This window comes from Homo sapiens, chromosome 2, assembly GCF_000001405.40.
Source record: "Homo sapiens chromosome 2, GRCh38.p14 Primary Assembly".
Taxonomy (NCBI): Eukaryota; Metazoa; Chordata; class Mammalia; order Primates; family Hominidae; genus Homo; species Homo sapiens.
Window position 1 is genome coordinate 104,876,772 of NC_000002.12, and position 25,726 is coordinate 104,902,497.

At 45.2% G+C, this 25,726-nt stretch overlaps 1 protein-coding gene across 4 annotated transcripts in view, besides 1 other annotated feature; it reads left to right on the forward strand.

Annotated features, from left to right (window-relative positions):
• POU3F3 (POU class 3 homeobox 3) overlaps positions 1–25,726 on the forward strand; it is a 74,498-nt gene that overhangs the window by 23,496 nt on the left and 25,276 nt on the right. Inside the window, exons 2-3 of one of the 4 annotated variants that reach the window (NR_197432.1) lie at positions 22,977–23,113; positions 24,948–25,055. The exons of 2 other annotated variants lie outside the window; for them this stretch is intronic. The gene's annotated coding sequence lies outside the window, so the exon portion shown is untranslated. Of the gene's footprint in view, positions 1–13,580; positions 13,644–22,976; positions 23,114–24,947; positions 25,056–25,726 lie in introns of all 4 variants that reach the window. One more of the 4 variants, NR_197434.1, reaches the window with a different exon arrangement.
• Positions 23,508–25,261: an enhancer, noted in NCBI's record as "VISTA enhancer hs990". NCBI's record gives its function as "enhancer in: hindbrain (rhombencephalon)[6/11] | other[4/11]" and the evidence as "EXISTENCE:transgenic organism evidence [ECO:0001131][PMID:17130149]".

Genomic DNA, 25,726 nt, shown 5'->3' on the forward strand with positions numbered 1-25,726 from the left:
AGGCCAGAGATGAGAGAAACCAGAGCAGCAAGCCTTGGCAGAGACCTCGACCTCCCTTCTGCCACCAGGCCAGCTTTGCCACTTGCTGAACCGCTAGAGCTCTGTGCTGCTTTCGCTCTTCAGGGTTCAGGGGGCTTGAAGGAAGGGGATTGGGAACACCCAGCACCTCAGTCTGGCCCTCCCCTGTAATTGCTCCATCTGCCCCCAAGGGAGAAGGGTGAACTGCACATCAGGAGTACCATAACTTAAGACAAAAGGAAAAATCATGACTGTGGTATACACACACACACACACACAGAGTCATTGCCTCTTCCCTTGTTAAAGCTACTTCCACAAGAAAGAGAACCACACAAAAGGGTTATGTTTGGGGGCGCTGGGACCCGGAGACCCTCTCAGCTTTCTGAAAGGGCTTTGTAGTGCTTGGATCCAAGCCATTTGTTTCTAGAGAGAATCACGGTGGGTAGGAGCTTGCTTTTTCCATTTGCAATGGCTTATTAAGTATAAGCATCTCTCTTTCTCTCTTCTCTCTGTTTACTGAGCGATTAGCTCTCCCTCCAACTGACCCTGCCAGGGGAGATAGCCAAAGTGTATCCTTAACACACAGCTACCCTGCAAAATGCCCTTTCCATCAACCCAGAGACCACAGGCAGGACTCTGCAGTTCATTTTGGTGTCCTGTTTTTATATCAGTGGAGGATCTCCACTGATGGTGGAGTGTGCGCTAATGCCACCCATATTTACACAGCTCCATTCTAGTCACAGTGCAGAGAGAGTGGGACCTGGCTGAGACAGAGCCAAGAGAGTGATGTGTGCAGTGTGTGTGGCCTGGCTGGGAGGCCACAGTCTCTGGGCTCAATTGCCATCACTGATTCTTTTATTTTCTTTTTTTCTTTTTTTTTTTTTTTTTGAGACGGAGTCTCACTCTGTCGCCAGGCTGGAGTGCAGTGGCACAATCTTGTCTCACTGCAACCTCCGACTCCCGATTCCAGGGATTCTCCTGCCTCAGCCTCCTGAGTAGCTGGGATTACAGGCACACACCACCACGCCCAGCTAATTTTTGTATTTTTAGTAGAGACGGGGTTTCACCATGTTGGCCAGGATGATCTCAATCTCCTGACCTCATGATCCGTCCTCCTCGGCCTCCCAAAGTGTTGGGATTACAGGCGTGAGCCACCACGCCCAGCCACTGATTCTTTTCTAAGCTGTACAATGACCCTTCTTCCCACAGAATACTGTCCTTCCTGTCCTCATGGGAAGAAGGACAGGTTCCTTCACCCTCCTGGATGCTGGCAGTTAAGTAATCTGGGAACTTGTAAGCAGGACAGACTAACCAGAAACTGGCTGATTAGTAGCTGGTTGCCTGGCTGAATTGGCTGGTTTCTAGTAGGTCAGCTTGGTGGAAGGACAGATCAGCTGTGCTAGCAGACCGAGCCTTAATCAGCCAGATTCTAAAGGTCAGAGTGGAAACAAAAATCATGCAATTTACCCAAATTTTAGAGACTGAATTCAATTGTAGGATTTGGTCTGGAAATAAGAATGAATTATTTTCAATGGAGTGGATCCTTTTTTCCTCCCTGCCAGTTTCTCTACTATGCTATAGAGAAAGCCTAAGATATATCATTGATATTGTTATAGAAATATTGTCTACCTGCACGTACTACAGTATAGGCTGTAATGAAATAATTAAATCGAACTACTTTCAACCTTCTGCATATTCTCAATGGAAGCTTGGTGCTTTTATTCCACATTATGCTTTTGTGAAAAGGCTGCACTCTTACTATTCTAGTTAGAATTACTGTGTGACTGTTATATTTATTGTATGAATTTAGTGTTATTTAACACTTGGTAGACTACAAGGCTGGGGCAAATCCTGCATACAGAAGTTGGCATCTTGCCTGAGGGTTGGGATTATTTAATCTGCCAGTCACCCCATCCTTACCACCTCCTGGTGAAGAATAAACTTCTCCGGTGGAATTACTGAGGGGGGTGTTTCTGGGTGGGTGGCAAAGGTAGATTGGAGCTCTGTGCTCTGTTTGGTCCTGAGAGTCACTGCACTATGTCCAGATTTGTGTGTGTTTCACACAATACACAGCACAGCACACAACCCAGCACACAAATGCAACACACACACAGCACACAACACACTCACAACATGCACAAGCACACAAATGCAACACACAAATACAACACATAGCACACTCACACAACACGGCACACACAACACACAACATACACAACACAAAACATATACAGCACACACAACATATACATACAAACCACATACAACACACAGCACACCCAGCACACACTATACACACACACCACACAGAGCACACAACACACTCAAAATCTTCAGTACACACGTAATCTTCAGTACACACACAATACACATGGCACACAACACATGCATACAACGTATGCAGTACACACACCACACACATACAGATGGAGAGAGAGAGAGAGAGAAGAAACCGAGAGAGGAGCCTATGTCTTAAGCCGCGATTGGGCTCTGACCACAGTTCCTTCTCGGGGTGTCCGGGAGACCAGCCCTGGCAGGGGTACGTGAGCTGGTGCTGGGTAAAACAGCTGCACAGTCTTCCGGTCATCTGAGGTAACGTGTGGCTGTCACAGGGGAGGGTACATGGAGAGGGAAGAAAGTTGGTTTTTTATTTTCTTTGTACTTATTTTCCTATTTCTCCTTATTTTTTTCCCAATTTCTTTGAAAAAAAAAATTACCTGTCTCAGCTAGGTTAAGAGAAACCACCAGAAGTAAGTTGCATCCACATTTGGGCTGGGGTGTGTAAAGGTGGCTGGTGATTGAGTCCTCTGGTGAGCAGAATGGGGTGGCCCTGAAGTGGGGTGCCCTGAGGGGCAGGGCACTGGCTGCATTGATCACCCCTCCTTCCTTGCTGTGTGACCTCCTTCTGCCCCTGTGGCCTCTCTCTTTGTTTCAGGAGCAGATCTCCTGTTCCCTAGCTGTGCTTGTGAAATTCATACCTACCAAGAGGTGCAGGGGGTGTATCCAGGTTGCAGAAACCAAGTCACAGAACAAGTGTGGGGTGTCTTCCTGCAGCATCTCTTCACCACGTGGTTCTTTGGGGAACGAGCTAAGTAACTTAACTGAGAACTTCAAACTATACATTTATATTAAAACAATCACAGATCTACTATACGATAGAATACAAAATCATCATACGATTTAAAAACAAAAGCTAAGATTTCGAATGCATTTTGTGACTATAGAGGGTGGCTTTGGGCCAATACCTGCTCGTTCTTATCCAAGCATAAGCAGTTTCTTCTGATATTTCAGTGGAAGTTTTTGGGAGTGCTACCTTAGAGCTTATTCTTTCTCCTTCATGTGGTTCAAATTTAAGTTTCAGGACATTATATTTTCAGATTCATCCTCTCCCCACCCGCCTCCGCCCCCCACCACATAGACAGATTTGGGACCACCTGTTCACTCCACAGCCAGGAGGATGGAAAGATTCCTCGTGCCAGATTCTCCTTCATTCACGTAGTCTGCAACAATGCCCTCTCCAACGTTAGAGGAGGAGAAAACCCTCCCTTGGCTCCATTTCCAAGTTCTGTGCTTGGACAGAGTGCAGTCTGTACAAAGATGAGCTCAGCTGGGGCCAGCTGGAGTGGAGACCGTGAGACCTGTTCTTCTAGGGGAGCAGCCTAGGAGTCCCCACCATGCTCACAAATCCTGCCTGATCCCAGACCTGCCCTGTGCCCAACCATGCTGCAGTGGAGATCCTTGGCCACATTTGTAAGTGTTGCTGGTGACTGCCTCCCTGCAAGTGTCCACATCAGTCCACTCTTATTTTCTCAAGTCCATTCTGATTTGTTTGCCTTTCCGGGCCAATGGATAGGTGCCAGAGCACAGAAAAGAGAAACACCTCTTCACTCCATTTTCCTCTTTTGTCCTAAAGGTCAGGGTGTGTTTTGTTGTCCCAGTCCTCTGGGAGTTCTGTGCTGTCCCTGTGTTCTCTCAGCAATGCCCGAGAGCACCATGTCACGTCTTCTGTGGGCCAAGAGCTTGGGACAGGTTTTCTTTATCCGGGGCAGGGATGGGTTAGGAATGGTGGGCTATTCCACTAGATAAACCCATTGAAGTCTGCCCTGTACCCCTAGGCAGAGGTTGTGGAATTAGACTCAACTTATCGCCTCAATGCTCTAAAGAGTCCATAAGACAAAGACAGTGTATCAAAAATAACTTATTACATTCATAAAGTGAACATATTATTTCTTATAGATTTTAGACCCTTAGAGGGATGAATAACATACAGTTTATTTCACATACAACCTACTTTTATTCATATATATTTTCTCTTTCTTTCTTTATTTCTTACTTTCTTTCTTTCTTTCTTTCTTTCTTTCCTTTCTTTCCTTTCTTTCTTGTTTGAGAGATAAGGTCTCTCTCTGTTGCCCAGGCTGGAGGGAGTGGTGCAATCATGGCTAACTGCAGCTTTGAACTCCTGTGCTCAAGCAGTCCTCTTACCTCCACCCCCTCAGTGACTGGGACCTCAGGTGTACACCACCACACTCACATAACTAAAAAAAGATTTTTTTTTTGTAGAGATGGGGGTATCACTGAGTTGCCTGGGCTGTTCTTGAACTCCTGACCTCAAGCAGTCCTCTTGCCTCAGCCTCCCAAAGTGTTGGGATTACAGGCATGAGCCCCCACACCCATCCTAATCTTTTTCATATGCAATGGTTACACAGACGTTCAATGCATCCTCTCTCTTTCTGTCCTCTCTCTTTCTCTTGCTGTCTCTCTGTCTCCGTCTCTCTCCCTCTCTCTCTACACACATACACACACATAGGTATTATTTCAAATTGGCTTTTCAGTGGATTTTCTTGATTTTCATTAGACATAGACATAGGTGTATCTATAAAAACTAATACATTTACTAAATTCAGGAAAATAATCTTGATTAAAGTTTTAAACAATGGTGATTTGTTGGGAGGGTTCCGATGGAGGGTTCCATGTGGCTCACAGGAACGCATGTGCTTTCCTGCAGCTTGAGCTGGTGCTGCATGAACACGTAGCAGAGTGAGAACTCTCCCTCGGCCTCAGACATGGGCAATCCACCTCTTCTACCGGGATATCTGTCAATAGATGATTATCATCGTTCCCACTCCACCGCATCTCTTGGTTGCTCTTCTTTTCTTCTGTCTTTGAGAATGGAGAAAGAAGGATGAGTAAAACCTGGACTTTAAAGAAAATAATGAAGCAAGTTGTTATTTTGCTTATTGCCCAGTTGGTAGAGTTATTGACTCACTAAAAGATTATTACAGCAGATAAAATCTGTTAAGGAATAGGTTTCTAAAAATATATGCAGAGTGTTTCAAAGTGAAAGGTTGTTTATATGTTTTTCAAGTCTTATCTGAGTTTAAAATTTCAGGTATTGGCCTGACAAAATCAGCTTTCTGATTGGAAAAATCTTTCTGGTTGGAAAGAAAACCTGAATTTTTTTTTTTTTTTTTTTTTGAGATGGGGTCTCACTCCGTCGCCCAGGCTGGAGTGCAGTGGTGTGATCTCGGCTCACTGCACTGCAACCTTCGCCTCCCAGGTTCAAGCAATTCTCCTGTCTCAGCCTCCCAAGTAGCTGGGACTATAGGCGCCTGCCACCATGCCCGGCTAATTTTTGTACTTTTAGTAGAGACGGGGTTTCACCTTGTTGGTCAGGCTGGTCTCGAACACCTGAGCTCAGGTGATCCACCCGCCTCGGCTTCCGAAAGTGCTGGGATTACAGACATGAACCGCTGCACCCTGCATATTTTTAACTGTGCTTTTCTTCCTTCAGCCTCACCTAGGTTCTATATAGAGTGGATATTGGAATTAAATAAATATCCACAGAGTGAATACTGGAATTAAAAGCTGTCCTGACTTTTAAGATCTCAAACATTGATGGTCAGAGTAATCTATGAATTCTATCATCTTCGTATCTGACACTATGTGACTAAAACACTTGAAGTCTGAATTCAGAAACAAATTCACACTCTGTTTCGAGAGTTATGTACACCTTCCCACATGATTATTTTCTTTCCTTTTTAAATTTTAATTTAACTTTCTTCCTCTAAAAAAACCAAGAAATATCACAGAACAAAGTGGAAGCTTTGCAAAGAGTATTAGGATTAGAATTGAATACCAGAACAACAGGTGAAAATGACAGGTGGTAGTAAGAGGAATATTGAATATGAGAAAGTAATAGCCATCTAAATGTAATTCTGCACCTAGGTAGGTCCTAGGAGGAAAGTCATTCCCACAGCAGTTTGCAAGGCAAACTCACCTGGCAGGGAGAAGAGATGACCAGCTTGGTTTCCTTGTGGAAAACTACTCTTTGCTGTGGAGAGTTGCTGGGATTAAAAAGTACTGCAGAAAAGGAGCCTGCATTTCTGATCTGTGTTCAGGGAGAAGCCCACTACAAGTGCCCAGGGCCATTAGCGGGGCAGAGCCATCCTGGTGGGTAACACAGCAGCACAGCATCATGTGTGAGCTACACCCCTCCCCCCAGGCACATCGCAGCCTTGACCTTGGGGCTCCATGAAACAGCTTAAGACCCTGGATTCACTTTGAGCAATAGAAGCCACACAATTACAGTTTTGGTTTTGTTTTGTTTTGTTTTCCCCCTTCTTCTTCAAATTGGCCATGCACACACATTGGTCTCTCATTAGACAGGGCTGAAACCAGCAGGTCTTTCCTCTGTGGGAGCTCTGTGCACAATGTGCTATCATACATGGAGGAGCTGCCCAAGGAAGAGTCAGAGAGATTACACAGCAGCTTTGGACTCTGTCCAGCTCACCATTCTCATCCCATTTCTCTTCTTTTAGCACCTGGGAGACTCTAACAAGTGCAATTCCCGACTCCCAGTACAGAGGGGAAAACATATTTCTAGCACTCTTCCGTAGCCGCTGGTGTGTTTAATGTCAGAAAATCAGCATATTGTGTTCTGAAGTTGCAAACATCCAGAATAAATATCATTATGGTTCTGAATGCTGGGAGGCTATAGAGGGTAGGAGTGAGGGGATGCTTGTAAAAGGCTCCTTCACTGGTAGGAAGACAGCATGTGCTTGGGATAGTGGGGAGGCTGGTTCAGAGAGAGATCCCTTCTCAGAATGGCTGAGCTTGCCAGTAGCTCAAGGACAGAACTAGGAAAGGGCAGGAAATGGGAGGAAGACGGGAAAAAGAATGTTTCTGCAACTCTCACTTCCCTAGGTGAGTTCCCAGTGGTCCCTTTCAAATTGCTGCAGATGAGGTAGAATTGCTCTTACCTGTGGGGACTGATGAGAATAGAGACCATGCTCATTAAGTTAGAGATGACAACAATCTGGCATGATCTGTAGAGTGGACTATGGAAGGGGTGACACGGAAGAGTGTGACTCTACCAGATAGAATGTGATTAGAATTCAGAATTACTTTGGAGTAGTGGTGAAATTCAAAACACATTTGTCTGGGGGTGGTATCAAAAGAAGTCTTTCAGAACAAACACAGGGTAATACTAGAGGTTAGATGCACCCAGCAGCAGAGGATGTCTGGTCAAGTGTAGGATGAGAATTTGTGGAACTGGAGCTACTGGCAGAGGAGCCCTTCCCTCAGCCCTGCACTGATTCTCTAAGAAGGCTGGGCTCACATCGACACCGCAGGGGACCACTGTGATCTCCCCAGGCATCCAACTAATGGCTGTATATCAATTTAAGAAAAGCTTCTCTGTGAGCCTCAAGCCAACTCAAGAAGAAACCTGGAAGCTGGTTTTCTGAGGAAGCCAGAACACACCACTCCACTTCAACACATCTGGCACTGCAGCTAACAGGGATAATTGCAGGGCACCCATGTCTCAGCTGAATTAGGCAAAACCCTCTAGCCCTGTAAAAACCAACAAAGGGTGTGGTGTTGTAAACTTACAAGGACTCTTCTCTAACTCAGAAGGGCCAACAGCAGTCAGCCATGTAGTCTTGTATTGTGGCAGAAGCACCAAGCCCCATTGTGGGATGAGTTAGGCTTGCAGGTTGGACGTCTTAGTGATCGTCTTATTGGGGAGGGACTTCTGTTTTGGAAAACCTAGGTGCTCCAAGCGACAAATAAGGAGAGAAGGAGAGGTTATTTCATAAGGAATGTGGAAGTGTGGGGTCACTGAAAACAGAGCCACTTAAAGGTGTCTGATACGGCTCCTCACACACTTAGTGTGCACTGAGACCTGTTTGGTGGGACGGGCAAGGAGCAGGAGGGCAGCATTCTTACACAAAATGTAGGACACACAACCCAGTCTGTGACAAAAAAATGTGATCATCCATCCTTAACCAGGGTAAGAAGGGGGAAATTGACTTAAACATTAAGCATAAGGATTTTAGGTTAAACTCTGTGTTACTGAAAAAAATGTCTGTCCAATGATCTAAACAGTAGAATACTCTCAGCTGTGCAATCAATCCAAGCATTTTTTTGTGAACACCACAGTTTATATGACTGAAGAAAGTCTGCTGACTTTCCTTCCTGCTACTAATGGTATAAACAGTTGTCAGAGGCGTTTGAACCAGGGTGACTCCATCTTGAATAGAGGCTGGGTAAAGTAAGGCTGAGACCTGCATTGCTGCATTCCCAGAAGGTTAGACATTCTAGGTCACACGATGAAATAGGAGATCAGCACGAGGTACAAGTCACAAAGACCTTGCTCATAAAATGATGCAGTAAAGAAGCCAGCCCAAACCTGCCAAAACCAAGAAGGCGATGAAAGTGACCTCTGGTCCTCCTCACTGCCCGCTATATGCTAATTATAATGCATTCATATGCTAAAAGGCACTCCCACCAGCACCATGACAATTTACAAATGCCATGGCAACCCAAGGAAGTTACCCTATATGGTGTAAAAAGGGAAGGAACCCTTAGTTCTGGGAATTGCTCACCCCTCTCCAGGAAAACTCATGAATGATCCACCCCTTGTTTAGCATATAATCAAGTAATAACCACAAAAATGGGCAACCAGCAGCCCTCAGCTTCTCTGCCCATGAAATAGCCATTCTTTCCTTTCTTTCTTTTTTTTTTTGAGACAAAGTCTCGCTGTTGTCCCCCAGGCTGGAGTGTGATGGCGTAATCTCGGCTCACTGAAACCTCTGCCTCCCAGGTTCAAGTGATTCTCCTGCCTGGCCCCCAGAGTAGCTGGGATTACAGGTGCCTGCAATCACGCCCGGCTAATTTTTGTATTTTTAGTTGAGACGGGGTTTCACCATGTTGGCCAAGCTGGTCTCGAACTCCTGACCTCAGATGATCCACCCGCCTCAGCCTCCCAAAGTGCTGGGATTATAGGCGTGAGCCACCGTGCCTGGCCTGTTCCTTTACTTTCTTAATAGACTTGCTTTCACTTTACTCTAAGGACTCACCCTGAATTCTTTCTTGCACGATGTCCAAGAACCCTCTCTTGGGGTCTGGATCGGGACCCCTTTCCAGTAACACAGTCATGTGATGCGTAACAACATTTTGGTCAATGTCAGGCCACAAATACAGTGGTGATTGTATAAGATGATAGTATATATTTATGGTACTTTTTCTGTGTTTGGATATACGTAGGTAAACTCTTTTGTTGCTATTGCCTACAGTATTCAGTACAGTGACATGTTGTACAGGTCTGCAGCCTAGGAGCAATAGGCCATTCCATAGAGCCTACGTGTGTAACAGGCTATACCATGCAGGTTTGTGTAAGTCCATTCTGTGATGTTTGCACAACAAGAAAATCACATAACTGTTACAGGAAAGGGGTCCCAATCCAGACCCCGAGAGAGTTCTTGGATCTCGCACAAGAAAGAATTCAGGGCAAGTTCGTAAAGTGAAAGCAAGTTTATGAAGAAAGTAAAGGAACAGGCCAGGCGTGGTGGCTCACACCTGTAATCCCAGGACTTTTAGAGGCTGAGGTAGGTGGATCACCTGAGGTCTGGAGTTCGAGACCAGCCTGGCCAACATGGTGAAACCCCATTTCTACTAAAAAATACAAAATTAGCTGGGTGTGATGGTGCATGCCTGTAATCCCAGGTACTCTGGAGGCTGAGGCAGGAGAATCACTTGAACCTGGAAGGCAGAGGTTGCGGTGAGCTGAGATCACGCTATTGCACTCCAGACTGGGTGACAAGAGTGAAACTGTCCCAAAAAATAAAAAATAAAAAAATTTAAAAAATTTTAAAAAAAGAAAGCAAAGGAAAAAAAAGGCTACTCCATAGACAGAGCAGCCCCGAGGGCTGCTGGTTGCCCATTTTTTTGGTTGTTTCTTGATAATATGCTAAACAAGGCATGGATTATCTGTGTCTTCCCTTTTTAGACCATATAGGGTGACTTCCTGACGTTGCCATGGCATTTGTAAACAGTCACGGCACTGGTGGGAGTGTAGCAGAGAGGACAACCAGAGGTCACTCTCATCACCATCTTGGTTTTGGTGGGTTTTAGCCGGCTTCTTTACTGCAATTTGTTTTATCAGCAAGGTCTTTATGACCTGTATCTTGTGCCAACCTTCTATCTCATCCTGTGACTTAAAACACCTCAACCACCTGGGAATGCAGCCCAGTAGGTTTCAGCCTCATTTTACCCAGCCCCTACTCAAGATGGAGTTGTTCTGGTTTACATGCCTCTGACATAACGACACATGTCTTAGAATGCATCTCCATCGTTTGATCAAGACATTACTTCAGTTGCGTAGATAAGGCTTAAAGGAAGAACCATGGAATAGTGCAGGATCTCTGGAAACTTTCTTCCAAGAGGACTTTAAACTTACCCTGGCGTCTACCAGTGTGGGGTGATTTTAGATGTGGAATTGCTGATTGTCCCCAGCCCAGAGCAAGAGACACATGGATGGAATGGTTCTACCTGCCAAAAAAACTTTACATTTCTAAAGTTTGAGCAGAAAATCTTATTCATTTGTGACCTCAAGAGAGCGGTGAAGCATGCCAGCTCATAAGGCCTTTCCTAGTCCCAGGTGCATTCCGAGGAGAGTAGTGCAAGCTGTTCAAGAGCTCCAGAGCCCACGCCCAGCCACAAGGATGGATGCGTCCATGGTCCATGAACTTACAGCAACCCTTTCACATGCAAAAGCATTTTATTTTCAGGCTTTAAATGGAGGTACTAAAAACAGTGTTAAAAGCGGGGAACACTTAAGAAGTGCAACCTTTTATTCTGAATAACAATTAGGAGCAGTTAGCTATTTAAATCATCTAAAATTTTTCTTTTGTAGGAACACTGCAAATGCTATACAGCACGTGCTTTTAAGAAGAGTGATGGGTGGGTACCAACAATAAGGAAGTGCTATCATTCATTATCTTTCAAGAGTGCATCCATTTCAGATATAATGCGCCTGTAGTAACAATGCTGCACTTTAGAAAGACATCTTTCATCTGAAAAACACACACCTCGCTCTTTCTGTAGGCAGCCTTGTTCTGTGTGTGCGAAATGGACATATTTTTACAGGTTCTTGTGGGGCAAACATTAGATACTCTTTAAAGGGTTAACGTTTATTACGAAGGTCTAACATATTAGTTTCTGTTGTGCAAGAAATCGAGAAGCTAGTGTGGGTTTTGAAAAGGGTGCATGTGAAGCTCTGTGTGGTGAGATGAAAACATTTCTGGATAGAAGGGCAGCTGGGACCTCAGGCTGGTGGTAGAGTTTGCCATCTCCTCGTTCTTCATTCTGCCATGCTTTGGAAGGCTTTCAGAACATGGTGAGGACATTTTCTGTTGTTGTTGATCGAGGATCTCTGAATCTTGGAAGGTACCAGCCTTGATTATGGGCAGAAAAAGTGAAATGTCTTTCAAGGCATGGTTTTGTTATCTGGACTCAAGAAAATGCTTATGTAAATCCCACCCCCACGAGAAGGAAGGAAATTGAGGGAGTATCTGTTAAGATGCATCATATGGAGTCCTTGGTTTCAGGCCTGATTTTGCCACTCCTACCCCACCCATCCACCCACCCACTTCCTTCCCCACTCTCAGGAGAGTCACAGTAACCAATTTGGGGTTTGTATTTAACACCTGCAAATCTTGGCTAACAGGCCTCCCTCTTTTCTCCTTCACCACCACCCTCCCTTTCTTCGATCCAAACACTTTAGTCAGTGCTTCCCAAATCATACCACTGAAAAGAGGGGAAACCCTTTTTGCATCCATACTGCAAAGACCTAAAATGTTTGTTTCCAGCTGTCCTACTTGTAACCTTTCAGCAAATCTTGATGATGCTTTTGAAAATAAGCTAAACCTAGCCTCTCACAAATGTGTTGAGGCCTTGCTCTGCACGCATGAGTGGAACTCCATGTAGAAGGCCCACCTCCTTAGCTGTAATAACAATGAGAACCTACTAGGAGCCAGAGGCTGTGCTACTGAATGTTTTCCGTGATGCGATTTAATCTTCAAATGTACTCACAAAAAAAGAGATAGTATTGTAGGATTTTCTCCTTAGTTCAGCTAAGAGCCGGGTCCTTGACACATGGCCATGAAATACTAGGCTCACAGACACTTTGAAGGGTGAGAATAATGGAATTTACAGAGCAGAAAAGAAAAAAGGGAAACAGGGACTCTCTGCAAAGCCAAGGTCCTGCTAGTGCGGCTTCCCACCTCGCAGATTGAATGCCAGGTTCCACCCAGGAAGAGGAGGGGCCAGGCTCCTCCCAGCTGCAAATGGGGAAGTTCCCCATGCTCCACCCTGGTGTGCATTCCTCCCAGTGTGCAGGTCGGTTGCAGGTTCTGCCACGGAGCCCCTCCTACCTGGCTGTCTCAATAGTATTTATATACCTTACAAATGGGAAAACCAAAGGTCAGAGGAACTGAGTAACTCAGCCAAGGTCCCGGAGCTGGCCAGCACCTCCAAAGCGTACTCTTCCCCTCTGATAAGGGCCACCTCTTTAAGATGACACAGAATGTCCAACCCTGAGACCCACAGTGGAAGGGGCACCATCATAGTTAAATTGTCAGGTAACTGTTCTTCATGTTCCTACCTGGCATCGTTCAAGAAGGCACATGGCAAGTGCCAGGCAAACGCTTGTTAACTTGAATCAGTTTACAACTTTCATAAACATTATAAAGTCTGGCATGAGGAAGAAGTTCAACATGCCTAATTAACAGCTGTTTCTGATATATAGCAAATCTATTTTTAAATAATCTTTTCTTGTAAGTTTTTTTTTTCACTCACTGGCTTATCAGAACCCAAAGGGCAAGGAACAAATTGAACCTGGGTAGCCTGCCTGGATGACAGGCAGGCAGCGCACAGCAGTGCCTTTCCTCCCTCACCCTGCAGCTCGCGACCTCAAGGTTTAACCTTTGGTGTCTTACTGTGGTTGACCGTCACGGGACTCTCAGGTCCCAAGCGAGATAGCCAAGTAAAAAGGGCTCCCCAGAGAATCTCTGACCAGCGTGCGCACTGGGAGGACAGGGTGGAGCCACGAGAAGTTTGCACAATTTGCAGTGGGGAGGAGCCTGGCCTCTCCTGTTCCTGGTTGGGGACCTGGGATTCAGTCTGTGAGGTGCAGAGCCTGTTAGCAGGACTCCATCTCACTTTGCTGAATTGTTTTTCCTTTTTCCTTTTTGCCCAATAAATTCTGCTCCTCACCCTTCTAGGTGTCCGCGAGCCTGATCTTTCTCGGTTGTGTGACAAGAACCTGACTTTTCCTGCAGCACAAGGTTTGTCCTTCCTTTATTCTCTTTCCTCTCCATGGCCACAATAACATCTCAGAGGAGAGCGACCTCATTCGCCCACCTCCCTGTGTGGGGAGCAGCCTGCTTCTGATAAGAGAGGGGAAGTGGCATCAAGCATTGCTGTGAACCAGAAAAAATGCCAACCCCTGAATGTTTCGGGTTTTCACTCCTCCTTCTCTGTGGCTATCCTGGGTCTCCTGGCCCCTAAGTCAGTGCTTTTCAGTTAAGGTGGGAGGTGAGGGTCCTATCATGTCAAACCTGCTGGGCCTTAGCAGGCACGCAAGGGCATAGTCAGCCCATCTGATATGTTCCTCCACACTCGGGTAAAAGAGGCAGAAAGATTCCTACCCCACCTGTCCCACCGCGGGCCACATGGGTGCATGTTCATCACGGACGTTTGGAGTTCTGCTTTCTAATCTTGCTGAGTGCACACAGTGGTAGAATTTTCCAGGCAGAGTCGGGATGACTACGGGAACCCTATAAGGGAGCAGTTTCAAGGGAGCAAAAAGGGGTGAAGCCACGGCCTGTGGAACCAGACTGGCCTAGATTGACTTTCAAGCTGCTCTGGCTACTAGCTGTGCAGCCCTGAGCGAGTTCCCTCACTTATCTGAACCTTGAGGCTTCCTATCTGTAAGCTGGAGAAAGTAGGCTCTACCCCCTGAGTTTCTGTGAAGATTGAATGAGATCATTTAGCAAGCAACCGGCACCACACCTAGCACCTACTTCATATTCAGTAAATATTAGCTCCTCTTTCCATCCAGGGTCTTGTAGCTCTTTGAATCAGATCATTTTACTTACCCATATATATTAGCCTTGAGGGATATCATTCAATTCAATATATTTTATATTCTTAATTATACATTCATTTATATCAATGTTTTATTACTACACAACATACAGTAATTATATGTTAATATTTTAGTATATTAAAATTAATACATATTTAATATTGATAGAATATATACCTAATGAATATATATTGGGTGTCTTATGCACAAGTCATGAAATCAGTCTGGCTGTATTTTTTGCAACTCAGGTGACTTAGGCATTTTAACCAAATATTCGGGCTTGTTTATTCAAAATTACAGCAGCCAGATAGCACAAATCAATCGGAAGAGTAATTCTAAAATGTGATAGAAGGGTTTGAAGGCAACTAAATCCTGAAGAGGGGCTTCGGTGGCCAGTTTCCCAGGTGGCAGAGCATGGCCATGAGTTTGGAAATGGGCCTTTGGTTGGTGTGGGGGCAGAGAAGGCACTTCTCTTCCATCACGGAATTTCTGTTCATAGTAATTCAGTGAAACATAAAATATTTATGGGAGAAAACTTTTATAGAAATCTTCTTTCCTCAGAGGATTTTAAAGGCGCAGTCTCCCCGACATCAAACATTCCTGTGAAAAATTAAAAATCCAGTCAATCAACCAGCTGTTTCTAAATATACAAAAATATGGCACAAACCATCTGAGTTTTTGCTTTTTGGTTGGATAAATACATTATTTAGACACAGCCTAAAGCGCATTATGCTTATAGCTCACTAAAGAAGCAACGTTCTTGAGGTATAAACAGGGAGACATTCGTAGCAAAATTTTTCCATCAGGCAACACAAGCGCACACCTGGGCTCCGATCAAACCCCCTGATGATGTGAGCTGGACACAGTGCCTGAGAGGGAGACCTGGAGACCTGAGCAGGATGCCCTGAGCCTTCTGCACACTGCTGGGCCAGGTACCCTTCACCTAGCAAGTGACAGGATGGGACAGAGTGAGGCATACTTTCTAACTCCATGATTTTGTCCTGTGGTGAAGATGGCCCATCACAGAGAGAGCAAGAGCATGGGAATACCTGTTGGCCTCCATGTGGGACAAGGACAGCCAACTGCATTGGCCCAGGATGATGCCCTCAGGCTTATTCACTTCATTAGTGGCAGAATTAGTGAGAATCTGCAGCTTTCAAGCAACCAAGTCACTTTAGTATTTAATAATCTCAGTCATGAACATGAGGCCATGTGAGATATTCATGCTTATTTATTTATTTACTTATGTATGTATTTATTTATTTTGAGACAGAGTCTCACTCTGTCACCCAGGCTGGAGTGCAGTGGTGTGATCACAGCTCACTGCAGCCTCAACCTCCCAGACTCAAGCAATCCTCCTGCCTCAGCCTCCCAAGTAACTGGGACTACAAGTGCATGCAACCACTCCTGGCTGATTTTATATATATATATGTACATATGTGTATATATATACACATATGTGTGTGTGTGTATATATATATGTATATATACACACATATGGAGAGAGAGAGAGAGAGAAAGAGAGAGGGAGTCTCAATTTGTTCCCCTTTGAACTGCCTGGATCGAAACTCCTGGGCTTCAATGATCTTCTGGCCTCAGCCTCCCAAAGTGCTGGGATTACAGACGTGAGCCACTGGGGCTGGCCGATTCATGCTTTAGATTGATAGGAGGGAAGATGAGTGAGAAGACTGAAGAGGACAGCTCTCTTTGAGAGGTTTACCTGTACCAAGGCCTGTACAATTCGACTCAGGGGTTGGCTAAGGGCATTCATGTTATTTCACTAGATTCGAATGGCAGGCTTATTCACAGAAAACCCAAAATGTGTAAGGAGAGGGTGGCTCTGCAAAATTAAATTTTATGGACGATTAGCAACATATAGATATATGTACAACTTTCATGTGCACGAACATAAAGTTAGAATTTCAGAACCCTCCAAGTCACTCAATCACTCAATGGTGTGCTCAGGGCCCCAGCTAACACTCTTCTGAAAACAAAATAAACACAGGTTGACAAAGATGAGTTAGAAACTCTCCGATGGTGAGGATGGTCCCCAGTGTGATGGATCCCTCGTCATTGGACCAGCTTCCTCTTGTGCTCACCCTGGGTCTGGATGTCACCTTGAAAAAGCCTGGGCCAGTGTCCTGAGCAGTGAGCTACTTGGATCAGCTCTTTGGACTTCAGAGAAGGCAAAACCCACCACTGGGTTCTGTGGCCGCACAAGGGAAAGGAAGCAGTCTCTGGGTATCTGCAGAGGGCAATGGTTGACCTACCTAAGGAAAAGAAACGTCTTGGACCAGAACTATCTATACGGATGCTGCATTGTTTTCAGTGAGGATGGTGATTGCATTGACTTCACTGAGTTGGATGATGACTAAAAGATGCAGCTGGGCTCAGTGGCTCACACCTGTAATCCCAGCACCTTGGGAGGCTGAGGCGGGCAGATCACCTGAGGTCAGGAGTTTGAGACCAGCCTGCCCAACATGGCGAAACCCCATGTCTACTAAAAATGCAAAAAATGAGCCGGGCATGGTGGCAGGTGCCTGTAATCCCAGCTACTCAGGAGGCTGAGGCAGGAGAATTGCTTGAACCCTGGAGGCGGAGGTTGCAGTGGGCTGAGATCCCACCACTGCACTCCAGCCTGGGCAACAAGAGCAAAACTCTGTCTCAAAAAAAAAAAAAAAAAAAAAGATGCAGTGCGCGCCAAGGGGTTTGTACTAAGTACAAGTAGGTGCTTCAATCATGTTAGCTCCTATGGCACGGCTATGTACACACCATATTGTATGAAATTGCATAAATATAGGAGGATGGAGGATGAGCCGATGGGCTCCAGAATCTGGCTGTTGCGGTTAAGATCCTTGCTCTGCTAGTCAGCTCCATGGGCTTGGCCCATTCCTCAGCCTCTCTGTGCCTCAGTATCCTTGTGTGTCCAGTGGGGTTTTGTGAAAGTCTCTGTGAGGATCAGATATGCATCGCACATGAGTTGTACCCGGTGCACAGCACATGTTAGGCATTATCACTATTAAATTAAGAATTTTATGTAGAATGGCCTTTTTCTGCATTGACCACACTGACATATCACTTTAATCTAATAGTCTGACTTTAAAAACTGCTTCTACATCATTATATGAAAGGATTAGTTAAGCTTTTTCCTATGATTCCTGTGAGATATACGTTGACAAGAACTTCCATTTATAGGTGAAAAAAACAAGATGGTGAGTTCTGGTGGGTTCCCGGTCACAGCCCCATGGTTGATGGATCTGTGCCTAACAGTTCAGCCCAGGCTTCCTCTTCCTCCCCTGTAGCCTGCCTGCACGAGTGCTGGGTCTGCATCCACCATGGGGTGAGGAAAGGGGATTAGTCCAACTGAGCGGTGTGGTCACCTCCTGACCCAGGTGCCCCATGGAGTCAACTGGTGGCCAGGCTGTGCTTTCAGGACAGAATTCAAAAAACACAGATAGACAGTAAGAGTTCCTTTACCAAGATCTTTGCTATTTCAGTGAAAAGCACACTGTCCAAAAAATCTGCATGGAGATCATTATAAACGACCCTACAATGTAGACATGCTAAGGGGAGCTGGTCTTCCTCCTGCATTGTTCTGGAGACTCAGCCTCAGCCCTGATCCCTGCACCCACAGGGGTGAGAACAAGCAGGGAGCTCCCAGGTCCTAGGGCTGCCTTATCTATTTCTGGGCCTGGTGTTCTCTTTTTTTTCTGTGCATGTGCTCATCTTTTCCTTAACTGTACTATTTTCCTGAGGGATTTTATTTAGAGCTTTACAAAAAATCCAAAAAAATCAAACCTCCGAGCCCAGACTGGGGCATCTTCACCATGTGTGTGCACAGGTGAGTGTGTGTGTGTGTGTGTGTGTGTGTGTGTGTGTATTTTCTCACTGGCCCTATCCCTCAAGCGTCATCCACACTTCACATACAGCTGCACCTTTTTGGGCTGAGCGGTCCTCAAAGCCTTTGCTATGTTTATTTCTCTACAGGGCCCGACAATTTCAAAGCCAATCAAACTTGATGAAAACTCAAAGGGTATTTTTTCTTTTTAAATCTTCACTACCAATTGCCCACATATTTTAGGTAAACAACAAAATACAAGCAGGCGCTATGACTCTCTTCACTTGGTTCAGTTCCTTCGGATGCTGTAATTTACAGGACTTTGCTTTCTACCTTATGGTTGTTTATTTTCCTTAATAGCCTTTTAGGAGGGGCCTTATCAGAAGCTTTCCGAAAAGTACACTAAATTATGTCTACTGGGTCAATTTTGTCTTCAGTTTTATTAATCTAGAAATTATAACTGTAATATTTCCTGAAAGTGTCTGATACTACGGAAGCCACAAATGCAGTAATTAACATGCAATTTGAAAAATTTATTCCCAGAGATCCAAACACAGTGAAAAACAGAAGAGCCACAAGAGACAAACAAATGCAAATGAGAAATAATTCTGCACCCTATTCCTGCTGCTGCTTATGTTACTTTCCACTTCCTATGCCCCTATTTTTCTATTAACCTCAGAGGTAATCATTGGGTCTATTGGATAAAAATATTGAGGGGAAACTTCGTTCATCAGAGGTTTTGAGCATTTCTGTAACTACTTAGGATTTGTTTGCTGGTTCAGAAATGGGCATAATTGAGCAAAGAAGCATCTGACCTGGAAGACCACGGGCTAAAGGCCAGCTAGCCCTGGGGAGTATGAGTTCTCTCCAGGAAGCTTCTAGAGTCACCTCCAAGAAGGGCCAGCACTGCCCTGCAGGTGGGCAGCTGGGGCAGATGAGCAGGGAGTCTGTTTCAGCACACAAGGGCTCGGTAGCTGGGCAGTTAGCACCGGGAAGCCTGAGCGGCAGGGAGCAGGAACTCGAACGTGGATACCAGGATTTAGGATCCAAGAATAAGGCAGGATTGAGTAACAGGATGTGGTGCTGGAAGCTTCCTCCCAGCTCCAAGGAAGCCAGAAGGACTCCATAGTCTCTAGCTGTGTGTTGCTTGGCCCTCTCATCCCCATACCTGTTAGACCTAAACCTGGCTGGGTAGGGGTCCCTGCATGGAACTTCTGCCCTCAGCCCTGTGTCTTGGGGGAATGATGGCCCCAGCCACCTGCACCCCCAGGCCACGTGGTGCAATCCAAAGGACGTGGACTTGAGGCCAGACTGGGATCTAATTCCAGATGGACTAAAGAGCCCTGCAGGATCCTAAGCCAAAAATTCCTGAAACCCCAGAAGCTTGTGAGGGAGGTTCTACGAGATAACACGGCATCTTTCAAAGTTCAGTCCAGTTGTAACACCTGCATTGTTCACCCATACTTTTGTAATAACTCTATTTTAAGTAGGTTTTTAAAATCCCCTCTCAACTTCTTCCACAAGTAGCACATGAGGCATCCTCAGGAAAGGCTGAGGTTGTGCAGCTGAATCATGTGGCTGAGAGCTGGCTTGCAGCCAGACCATCCCCTCTGCTCAGTTTCCTCATGACACTCCACGTCCTGGTCCCTTTCTCCTCCTCATTCTCTCGTCGAACCTTGGTGAAGCCTGAGTGCTGACCCCTGTGCCCCGCCTCTCCTGGAGAAGCCTGTTTGAGTGAAGATGGACTGACGTGGGATCACGATGGTCTCATATCCTGCTGTTGTGTTCCCTTCATGTGTGGGATCTGGATGCCTGCTTGGGACACCAGGTCAGGCCCCTTGACATGAATGCAACACAGATTGGTCCTCGGAGCTTCAAATCAAGGGACTCTGGCTGTTGGATGCCCTTTTTCAGGGGCAGTCCTACACTGGCATTGCACCTTTGAGTCCTTGTCCTAAATAGTCCAGTTTCCTCCTCTCTCCTTGAAAGCTTACGGTTAAAATCCCAGCACACCCGTGTCAGGAATACCTGATAGTCCAGAAGTAGAGGAATTGGGAAGGGGAGTTAACTCCAGATCAGGGGTGAGATGCCAAGGTTGGCATTGCATTTTAGAGTTGAAAGGACCTGACTTTAGAGCTAAAGAAGGAGAAGCCAGCAGCATAAAGTAAGCTGCCTAAGATCACACAGCTACTAAGAGTCAGAATGAAGAACCAGACCCTCAATTATACTGAGTCTTTATTCCTACAGAAGCTGCCCGGAGCTCCTCCACCCAGAACTGGGGACCTGGGTCTCTGCTCCCCAACCCTGGCAGGTGTTTAGGAATTGTTCATTTTGGTAGAACCACACCTGGGAGAAAGGAAAACAGAGCATCCCTTTGCTCATCCATTTTTACCTTCCCACCTGCAATAGTGAGAAGAAGGAAGGGGAAAACCCCCCTCCCCCTACAGCCCACTCAGCCAATCCCCAGGAGCACTGCCAGCCAGCTCACAAGCCCACTTAGTGGTGAGTGGCACAAACACCCACTCCAAGACCCAGGACGAACCCCAGCCCCGCCCATGTGGGGAACACAGATACCCCTGCTCTCAGGCAAAGGAATCATCAGTGCTGGAAAGGAATGGAGAATCAGTCAGCGATGACTCAGAAGTCGATCTTTTTGTCTGCACACTGCTGAAATGTTTAGATAAAAAGTGAGACATCACCTCAAACCAGATGTTTATATGCATTTCAACCAAGGTTTAGATATTTGGAAATGCTGGGTGGATATGACATTTCAGTATCCCTTCAAAGACCAACACATGGAAGCCAAGAAAGGCTTTCTTTCTAGGGCCTTATGAAGATAGATTAAGAGATAAGCTTGGCTAGGTTCAAAACCACAACTCATGTGGCTACTGAAATACCCAAGAAAAAATTGTTTTCCTAAGTTATAAGAGGGACTGAATGTTCTTGTCCCCCCAGAGTTCCTATGTTGAAATCAAATCCCCAAGGTAATGAAATTTGGAAGTGGGGCATTTGGGAGGTGATTAGTCACAAGGGTGGAGCCCTTGTGAGTGTCGTGAATGGGATTAGTGCCCGCTTAAGAAGAGGCCGGAGAGCCAGCTCCATCTCTCTCCACCCACTGAGGACACGTGGAGAGGTAGGCAGTCTGCAGCCTGGAAGGAGCACCTCACCAGGTCCCAGCCATGCTGGTCCTCTGATTTCGGACTTCCAGCTTCCAGAACTGTGAGAAATAAATTTCTGCTGTTCGTACGTCACCCAGTGTATAATGCTTTGTCATAGCGGCCTGAACTAAGATGCTGAAATGAAGATACGTTTTCCTGGGGATATTATTGTTTAGATTAGAGGCATAAAAATATGATTATAGAATAAAATAAAATAAGTCTTCAAACCAGTGTGATCAATTATGCTATCAAGCTTAATGGCAATAATTATTAAGTAAAATTCCCATGTAGAATAGAAATTCTAGTGTCAAAAATGTAAAATATTTGGTACTAGAGTTTCTATTACATATAAAGAGTTAATTAAAGACTGTCGTATTTTATGACTATGAAGTAAAGCATATCATAGTGGTCCTTTGGTAAGCCTTACTAACAAAATGTACAGATAAAAAGTGTTTTTAAAAAATAAGACACTTTGAATTTTTCTGCTTGAATTTTTGAATATTTTCCTTAGATGCTGGCTTTAGAATGAGATCATTTCCCAATCTTTTCGTACCTTTTTCTGCCTGAGTTAAAATGTTCACTAAAAGGTAAGCATTTTGAAGGCTGTTACCCACAGGATAAGGAAAGAATGTATTCCAGTAGTCCACTTTGGGGAATCAACATTTTTTTTACCTGTTAAATTTTTCATGGAATTCCTGCTAATAGTATGACAGGTATCTGACAGCAGAACCAGAAGATAAAATAGATACAGAAAGTTATTCGATTGGTGATTGGAAGGAAGGAGGCCAGAGAGTATTCAGTGACTCCTGAAAATTCTCCCTATACAGTGAATGCCAGTGAGATGAAACCAATAAACTTTGACCAAAGGAAGAAATCTGAATTCTAATCCAAGGAGCATGGTGAGCATGAAGTGCCATGGAGATACTCAAAAGGATGATTCCTCCCTGACACGGGAAAATTCACAGACCCAGCACATAAGCGACGGATCGGCAGTATGGGTTGTGTGTGCCTGCTGTGCCTGGGTTGTGTGTTTCCACACCCACAGAGGAACTCCGGGGCTGCAGCATGAGTGCTGTGTGAGCCCAGAGCAGAGCTTCGGGACAGCCCTGATTCTTTCCTTTCCCCTTTCCGGTAAAGCAGAGAAACTAAAAAGAGACCCATTTTTCTCCTCTGTGCCTGAGTATATGGCATTTCTGGCACAATAGAGAGGATCAGATCCTTAAGCCTGAAACACAGCTCTCTCTATAGAATTTATCTATATGTGGTGTGTCATAGTCTATTATGGGTTTGTGTGGGGCTGGATCAGATTAATACCCTGGATCCAAGTCATCTTTCCAAATGAATCCAAATGAAAATATTGGCTTGGAGAAGATTTCTTGGTAATGAATATAATGCAGAATAATGAACAGTAGCCAAAAAGAGAGAGGATGTAGAACCAATCAAAGGAAGGGCAGATGTTTAAAATGTCTTTTGCTGTTTGAGACTGTGAGCCAACAAAGGTAATTATGTCTGTGCTTTCTCAATTTCCACACAGGAGAGAGGCACTTTGAGGTTTTCCAAGCTCTCGTCCTATCTATGCTTTGGGCGCTGAACAGGGAGGGGACCGTGATGCCATGCATGGCCAACAGCAACGGATGCCAAGCAAGGCTCATGGCATAAGACAGACTCGAGGTGAGGGCACTCCCAACCACGCAGGTGAAATACACACATTCGAAGACTGCCCTTGTGGGTGTGTGTCCAAGTGCAGAAGCACATAGCAGGGAGCCCACTTAAATCCTGCCCTCCAGGATCACAAGAATCACAAGATGCCATAGTTCCAAATTGAAATGGAGATGATGTCAGATAGTTTGTCTACGCACTGAGGGAGGGAGGTGGCCTAGGCCTTTGATGAAAATGGGCAGAGCAGCAGGATAGAGTTTCTAGTGACTCTAGGATGGGAGACTGGGTGACCTCCAATTCTTTTCACCAATGGAGGGCTGGATAAAATAAAAATGCTATGGTTTGAGTGTATCTCAGACAAGGGCCATAAACGATGTACACTGCGCATGGTTAGATGACACTTTAACAACTGACACTTACACATCAAGTGAGGGCGTCCTTCCACTGCACAGCTACATAGAAAAATATGGAATGGTAAAGAAGAAAGAAGAACCGTGAGCAGGAGAACCATTCCATTTTATTCCTTATATGTACAAACATGAATAATTTGACATGATGTTTAGACAGTTTCCCCCTAACTTAAGTCTTTTAATTAAAATGAAAGGAAGAAAATACGCTTTAAATATGAATGCGAGAAGGTGTGAGTTGACAGCCCCCAGCCTTCCTACTCTTCTCTCGCTGTTGTTAGCAAGCACAATAAAATCTCATCTTCCCCTGTCGTCTTTTCATAATGTTTATGGTTGTTTTAGGTAACACGTAAACCATACTGAATGTGATATTCCCCTTATGACATGTCAGGGGCACATATTAAACTAGAGCCTGTCCCTTATTCGGCTATTTACTTTTGTGGCAAATCAATGTATTTTCCTTGACTCACCAGGCAATATTGCAAGGCTGCCCGTGGCCAGGAAGGTAAATGCTAACTTTTCAGCCTGCGCCAAGTGGCACACCCTCGGCTCACTACCGAGTGAATGAGAGCAGTATATTCTGGACTGAAAAATGGGCTCGGATGTTGGCCCTAATAAATTACATGATTATTAAAATGCTGTGCAGTTCCTGCCCATATCACTTTATTTTACCTCTTGCTGTCTCCCCCTGGTTGCCTGCTCCACTTTACCTCTGTTTTCTGTGTGCTTAACTTGTAAAATGCTAAACAAGTTTTGATATTTACCTGTTTATGATTAAATTGCAAAATGATCTGCTTAGTTCTGTTCTAAATTAAGGTCTGCATTAAATGTCATAGCATTTATCTTTCATAAAATGAGACAGCAAGGACACTAATTTCCTAGGTATTCAATCACTGCCCTGTGCCACTGGAGAGACAGCCCAGGAGCAAGCCTGCCCACAGTTCACAGCTCACTGACAGCCCTGAGATGGAATCATAAAAGTCAATTAATCATTAAAAGCTGTTACAAGCACATATTGAACCAGTCTGGCACAAAATGTTAATCAGTCCAATATCAATATAATAAATTCCTGCAAATTGGAGCGATCGATATGTTTTGGGCCTAATGAATCAATTTGAGGGCACTGAGCTGCTCCTTGGGGTCCCCATGACACGGCAGCCGGGTGAGTGCTACATCTCTAGGCGCACTGCCAACAGAGGTCACCTATCCTAACAGGCTGTTCACTTCAGCCGCAGTTACCACGGTGACAGCATGTCACCATTGCCCTAGTGTCCTTCTAGGTAAGGTGGAAACCAATGCATCACTGCCCTTGATGGATTTGTCAATAATACTTAGCAGGGGAGGGGAACTGCTCACATAACACTCGCAGGTCTCCAGTCCCCGAGCAGTTTGGTGTGATTTAATTGTCTGAAGAGGTGTGTGCTTCTGCATATATGCAGGAACTAAGCAGTGGTCACAGGCAGAGGGAGTTAGCAGTGGAGCTGACTGCATTGGAAAGCCTTGGGAAAACAGCACGGAAAATAACAGGCGGCCGGAGCCACGGCCAGGTTGGTGTTCCATTAACCAAGTCGCTGTGTAAGTAAGAAATAACCTGGAGCTTCTCACATTAAGAATTTATTAGCTACAAAATTTTAATACATTACTCATGAGTGGAAATGGAGTTGCGTATTAATGCCCCAAGGCTTAGACTCAGCAGCAACATTTCTAGACACCTGCTTACAGACTGTAGATGTTCACCAGGAAAAGTCCATCAGGGGAAATTTGGGGAGTCAGGAATGATGGGCGAGGCTCCCTCCCTCTTTCTCTCCTCCAACCTCCCTCTCCCTATCTCTCCCTCTCTTCCCTCTCTCGCCCCCTCTCTCATCACTCCCTATTACCTGCAACCTTCTCCTTGCCCAACAGAACCACAACCCCAAAAGTGTGAAGCAAATGGGACACTCAGAAGGGGGATTTTAAGCCAGTCTCTTCATCATCTGTTTTTAAAAACCAGAGTTTTCATGTTTTAAAACATTTTATCTTTTGTTGCACCTATTAAAACTGACCAGTGAAGAGGGAGCCAAGAGCATTTCGGCATTGCAGAGTGGAATGAAGCCTCTTTAGAGATCAAAGAAATCTCAGCTCCCGAGACTCGGGGGAATCACCGTGTTCCAGAACCTTCACTGTCATTTAACATAAAACATAAAGGTTAACATTGAATGAAACAATACCCTGGCTGATT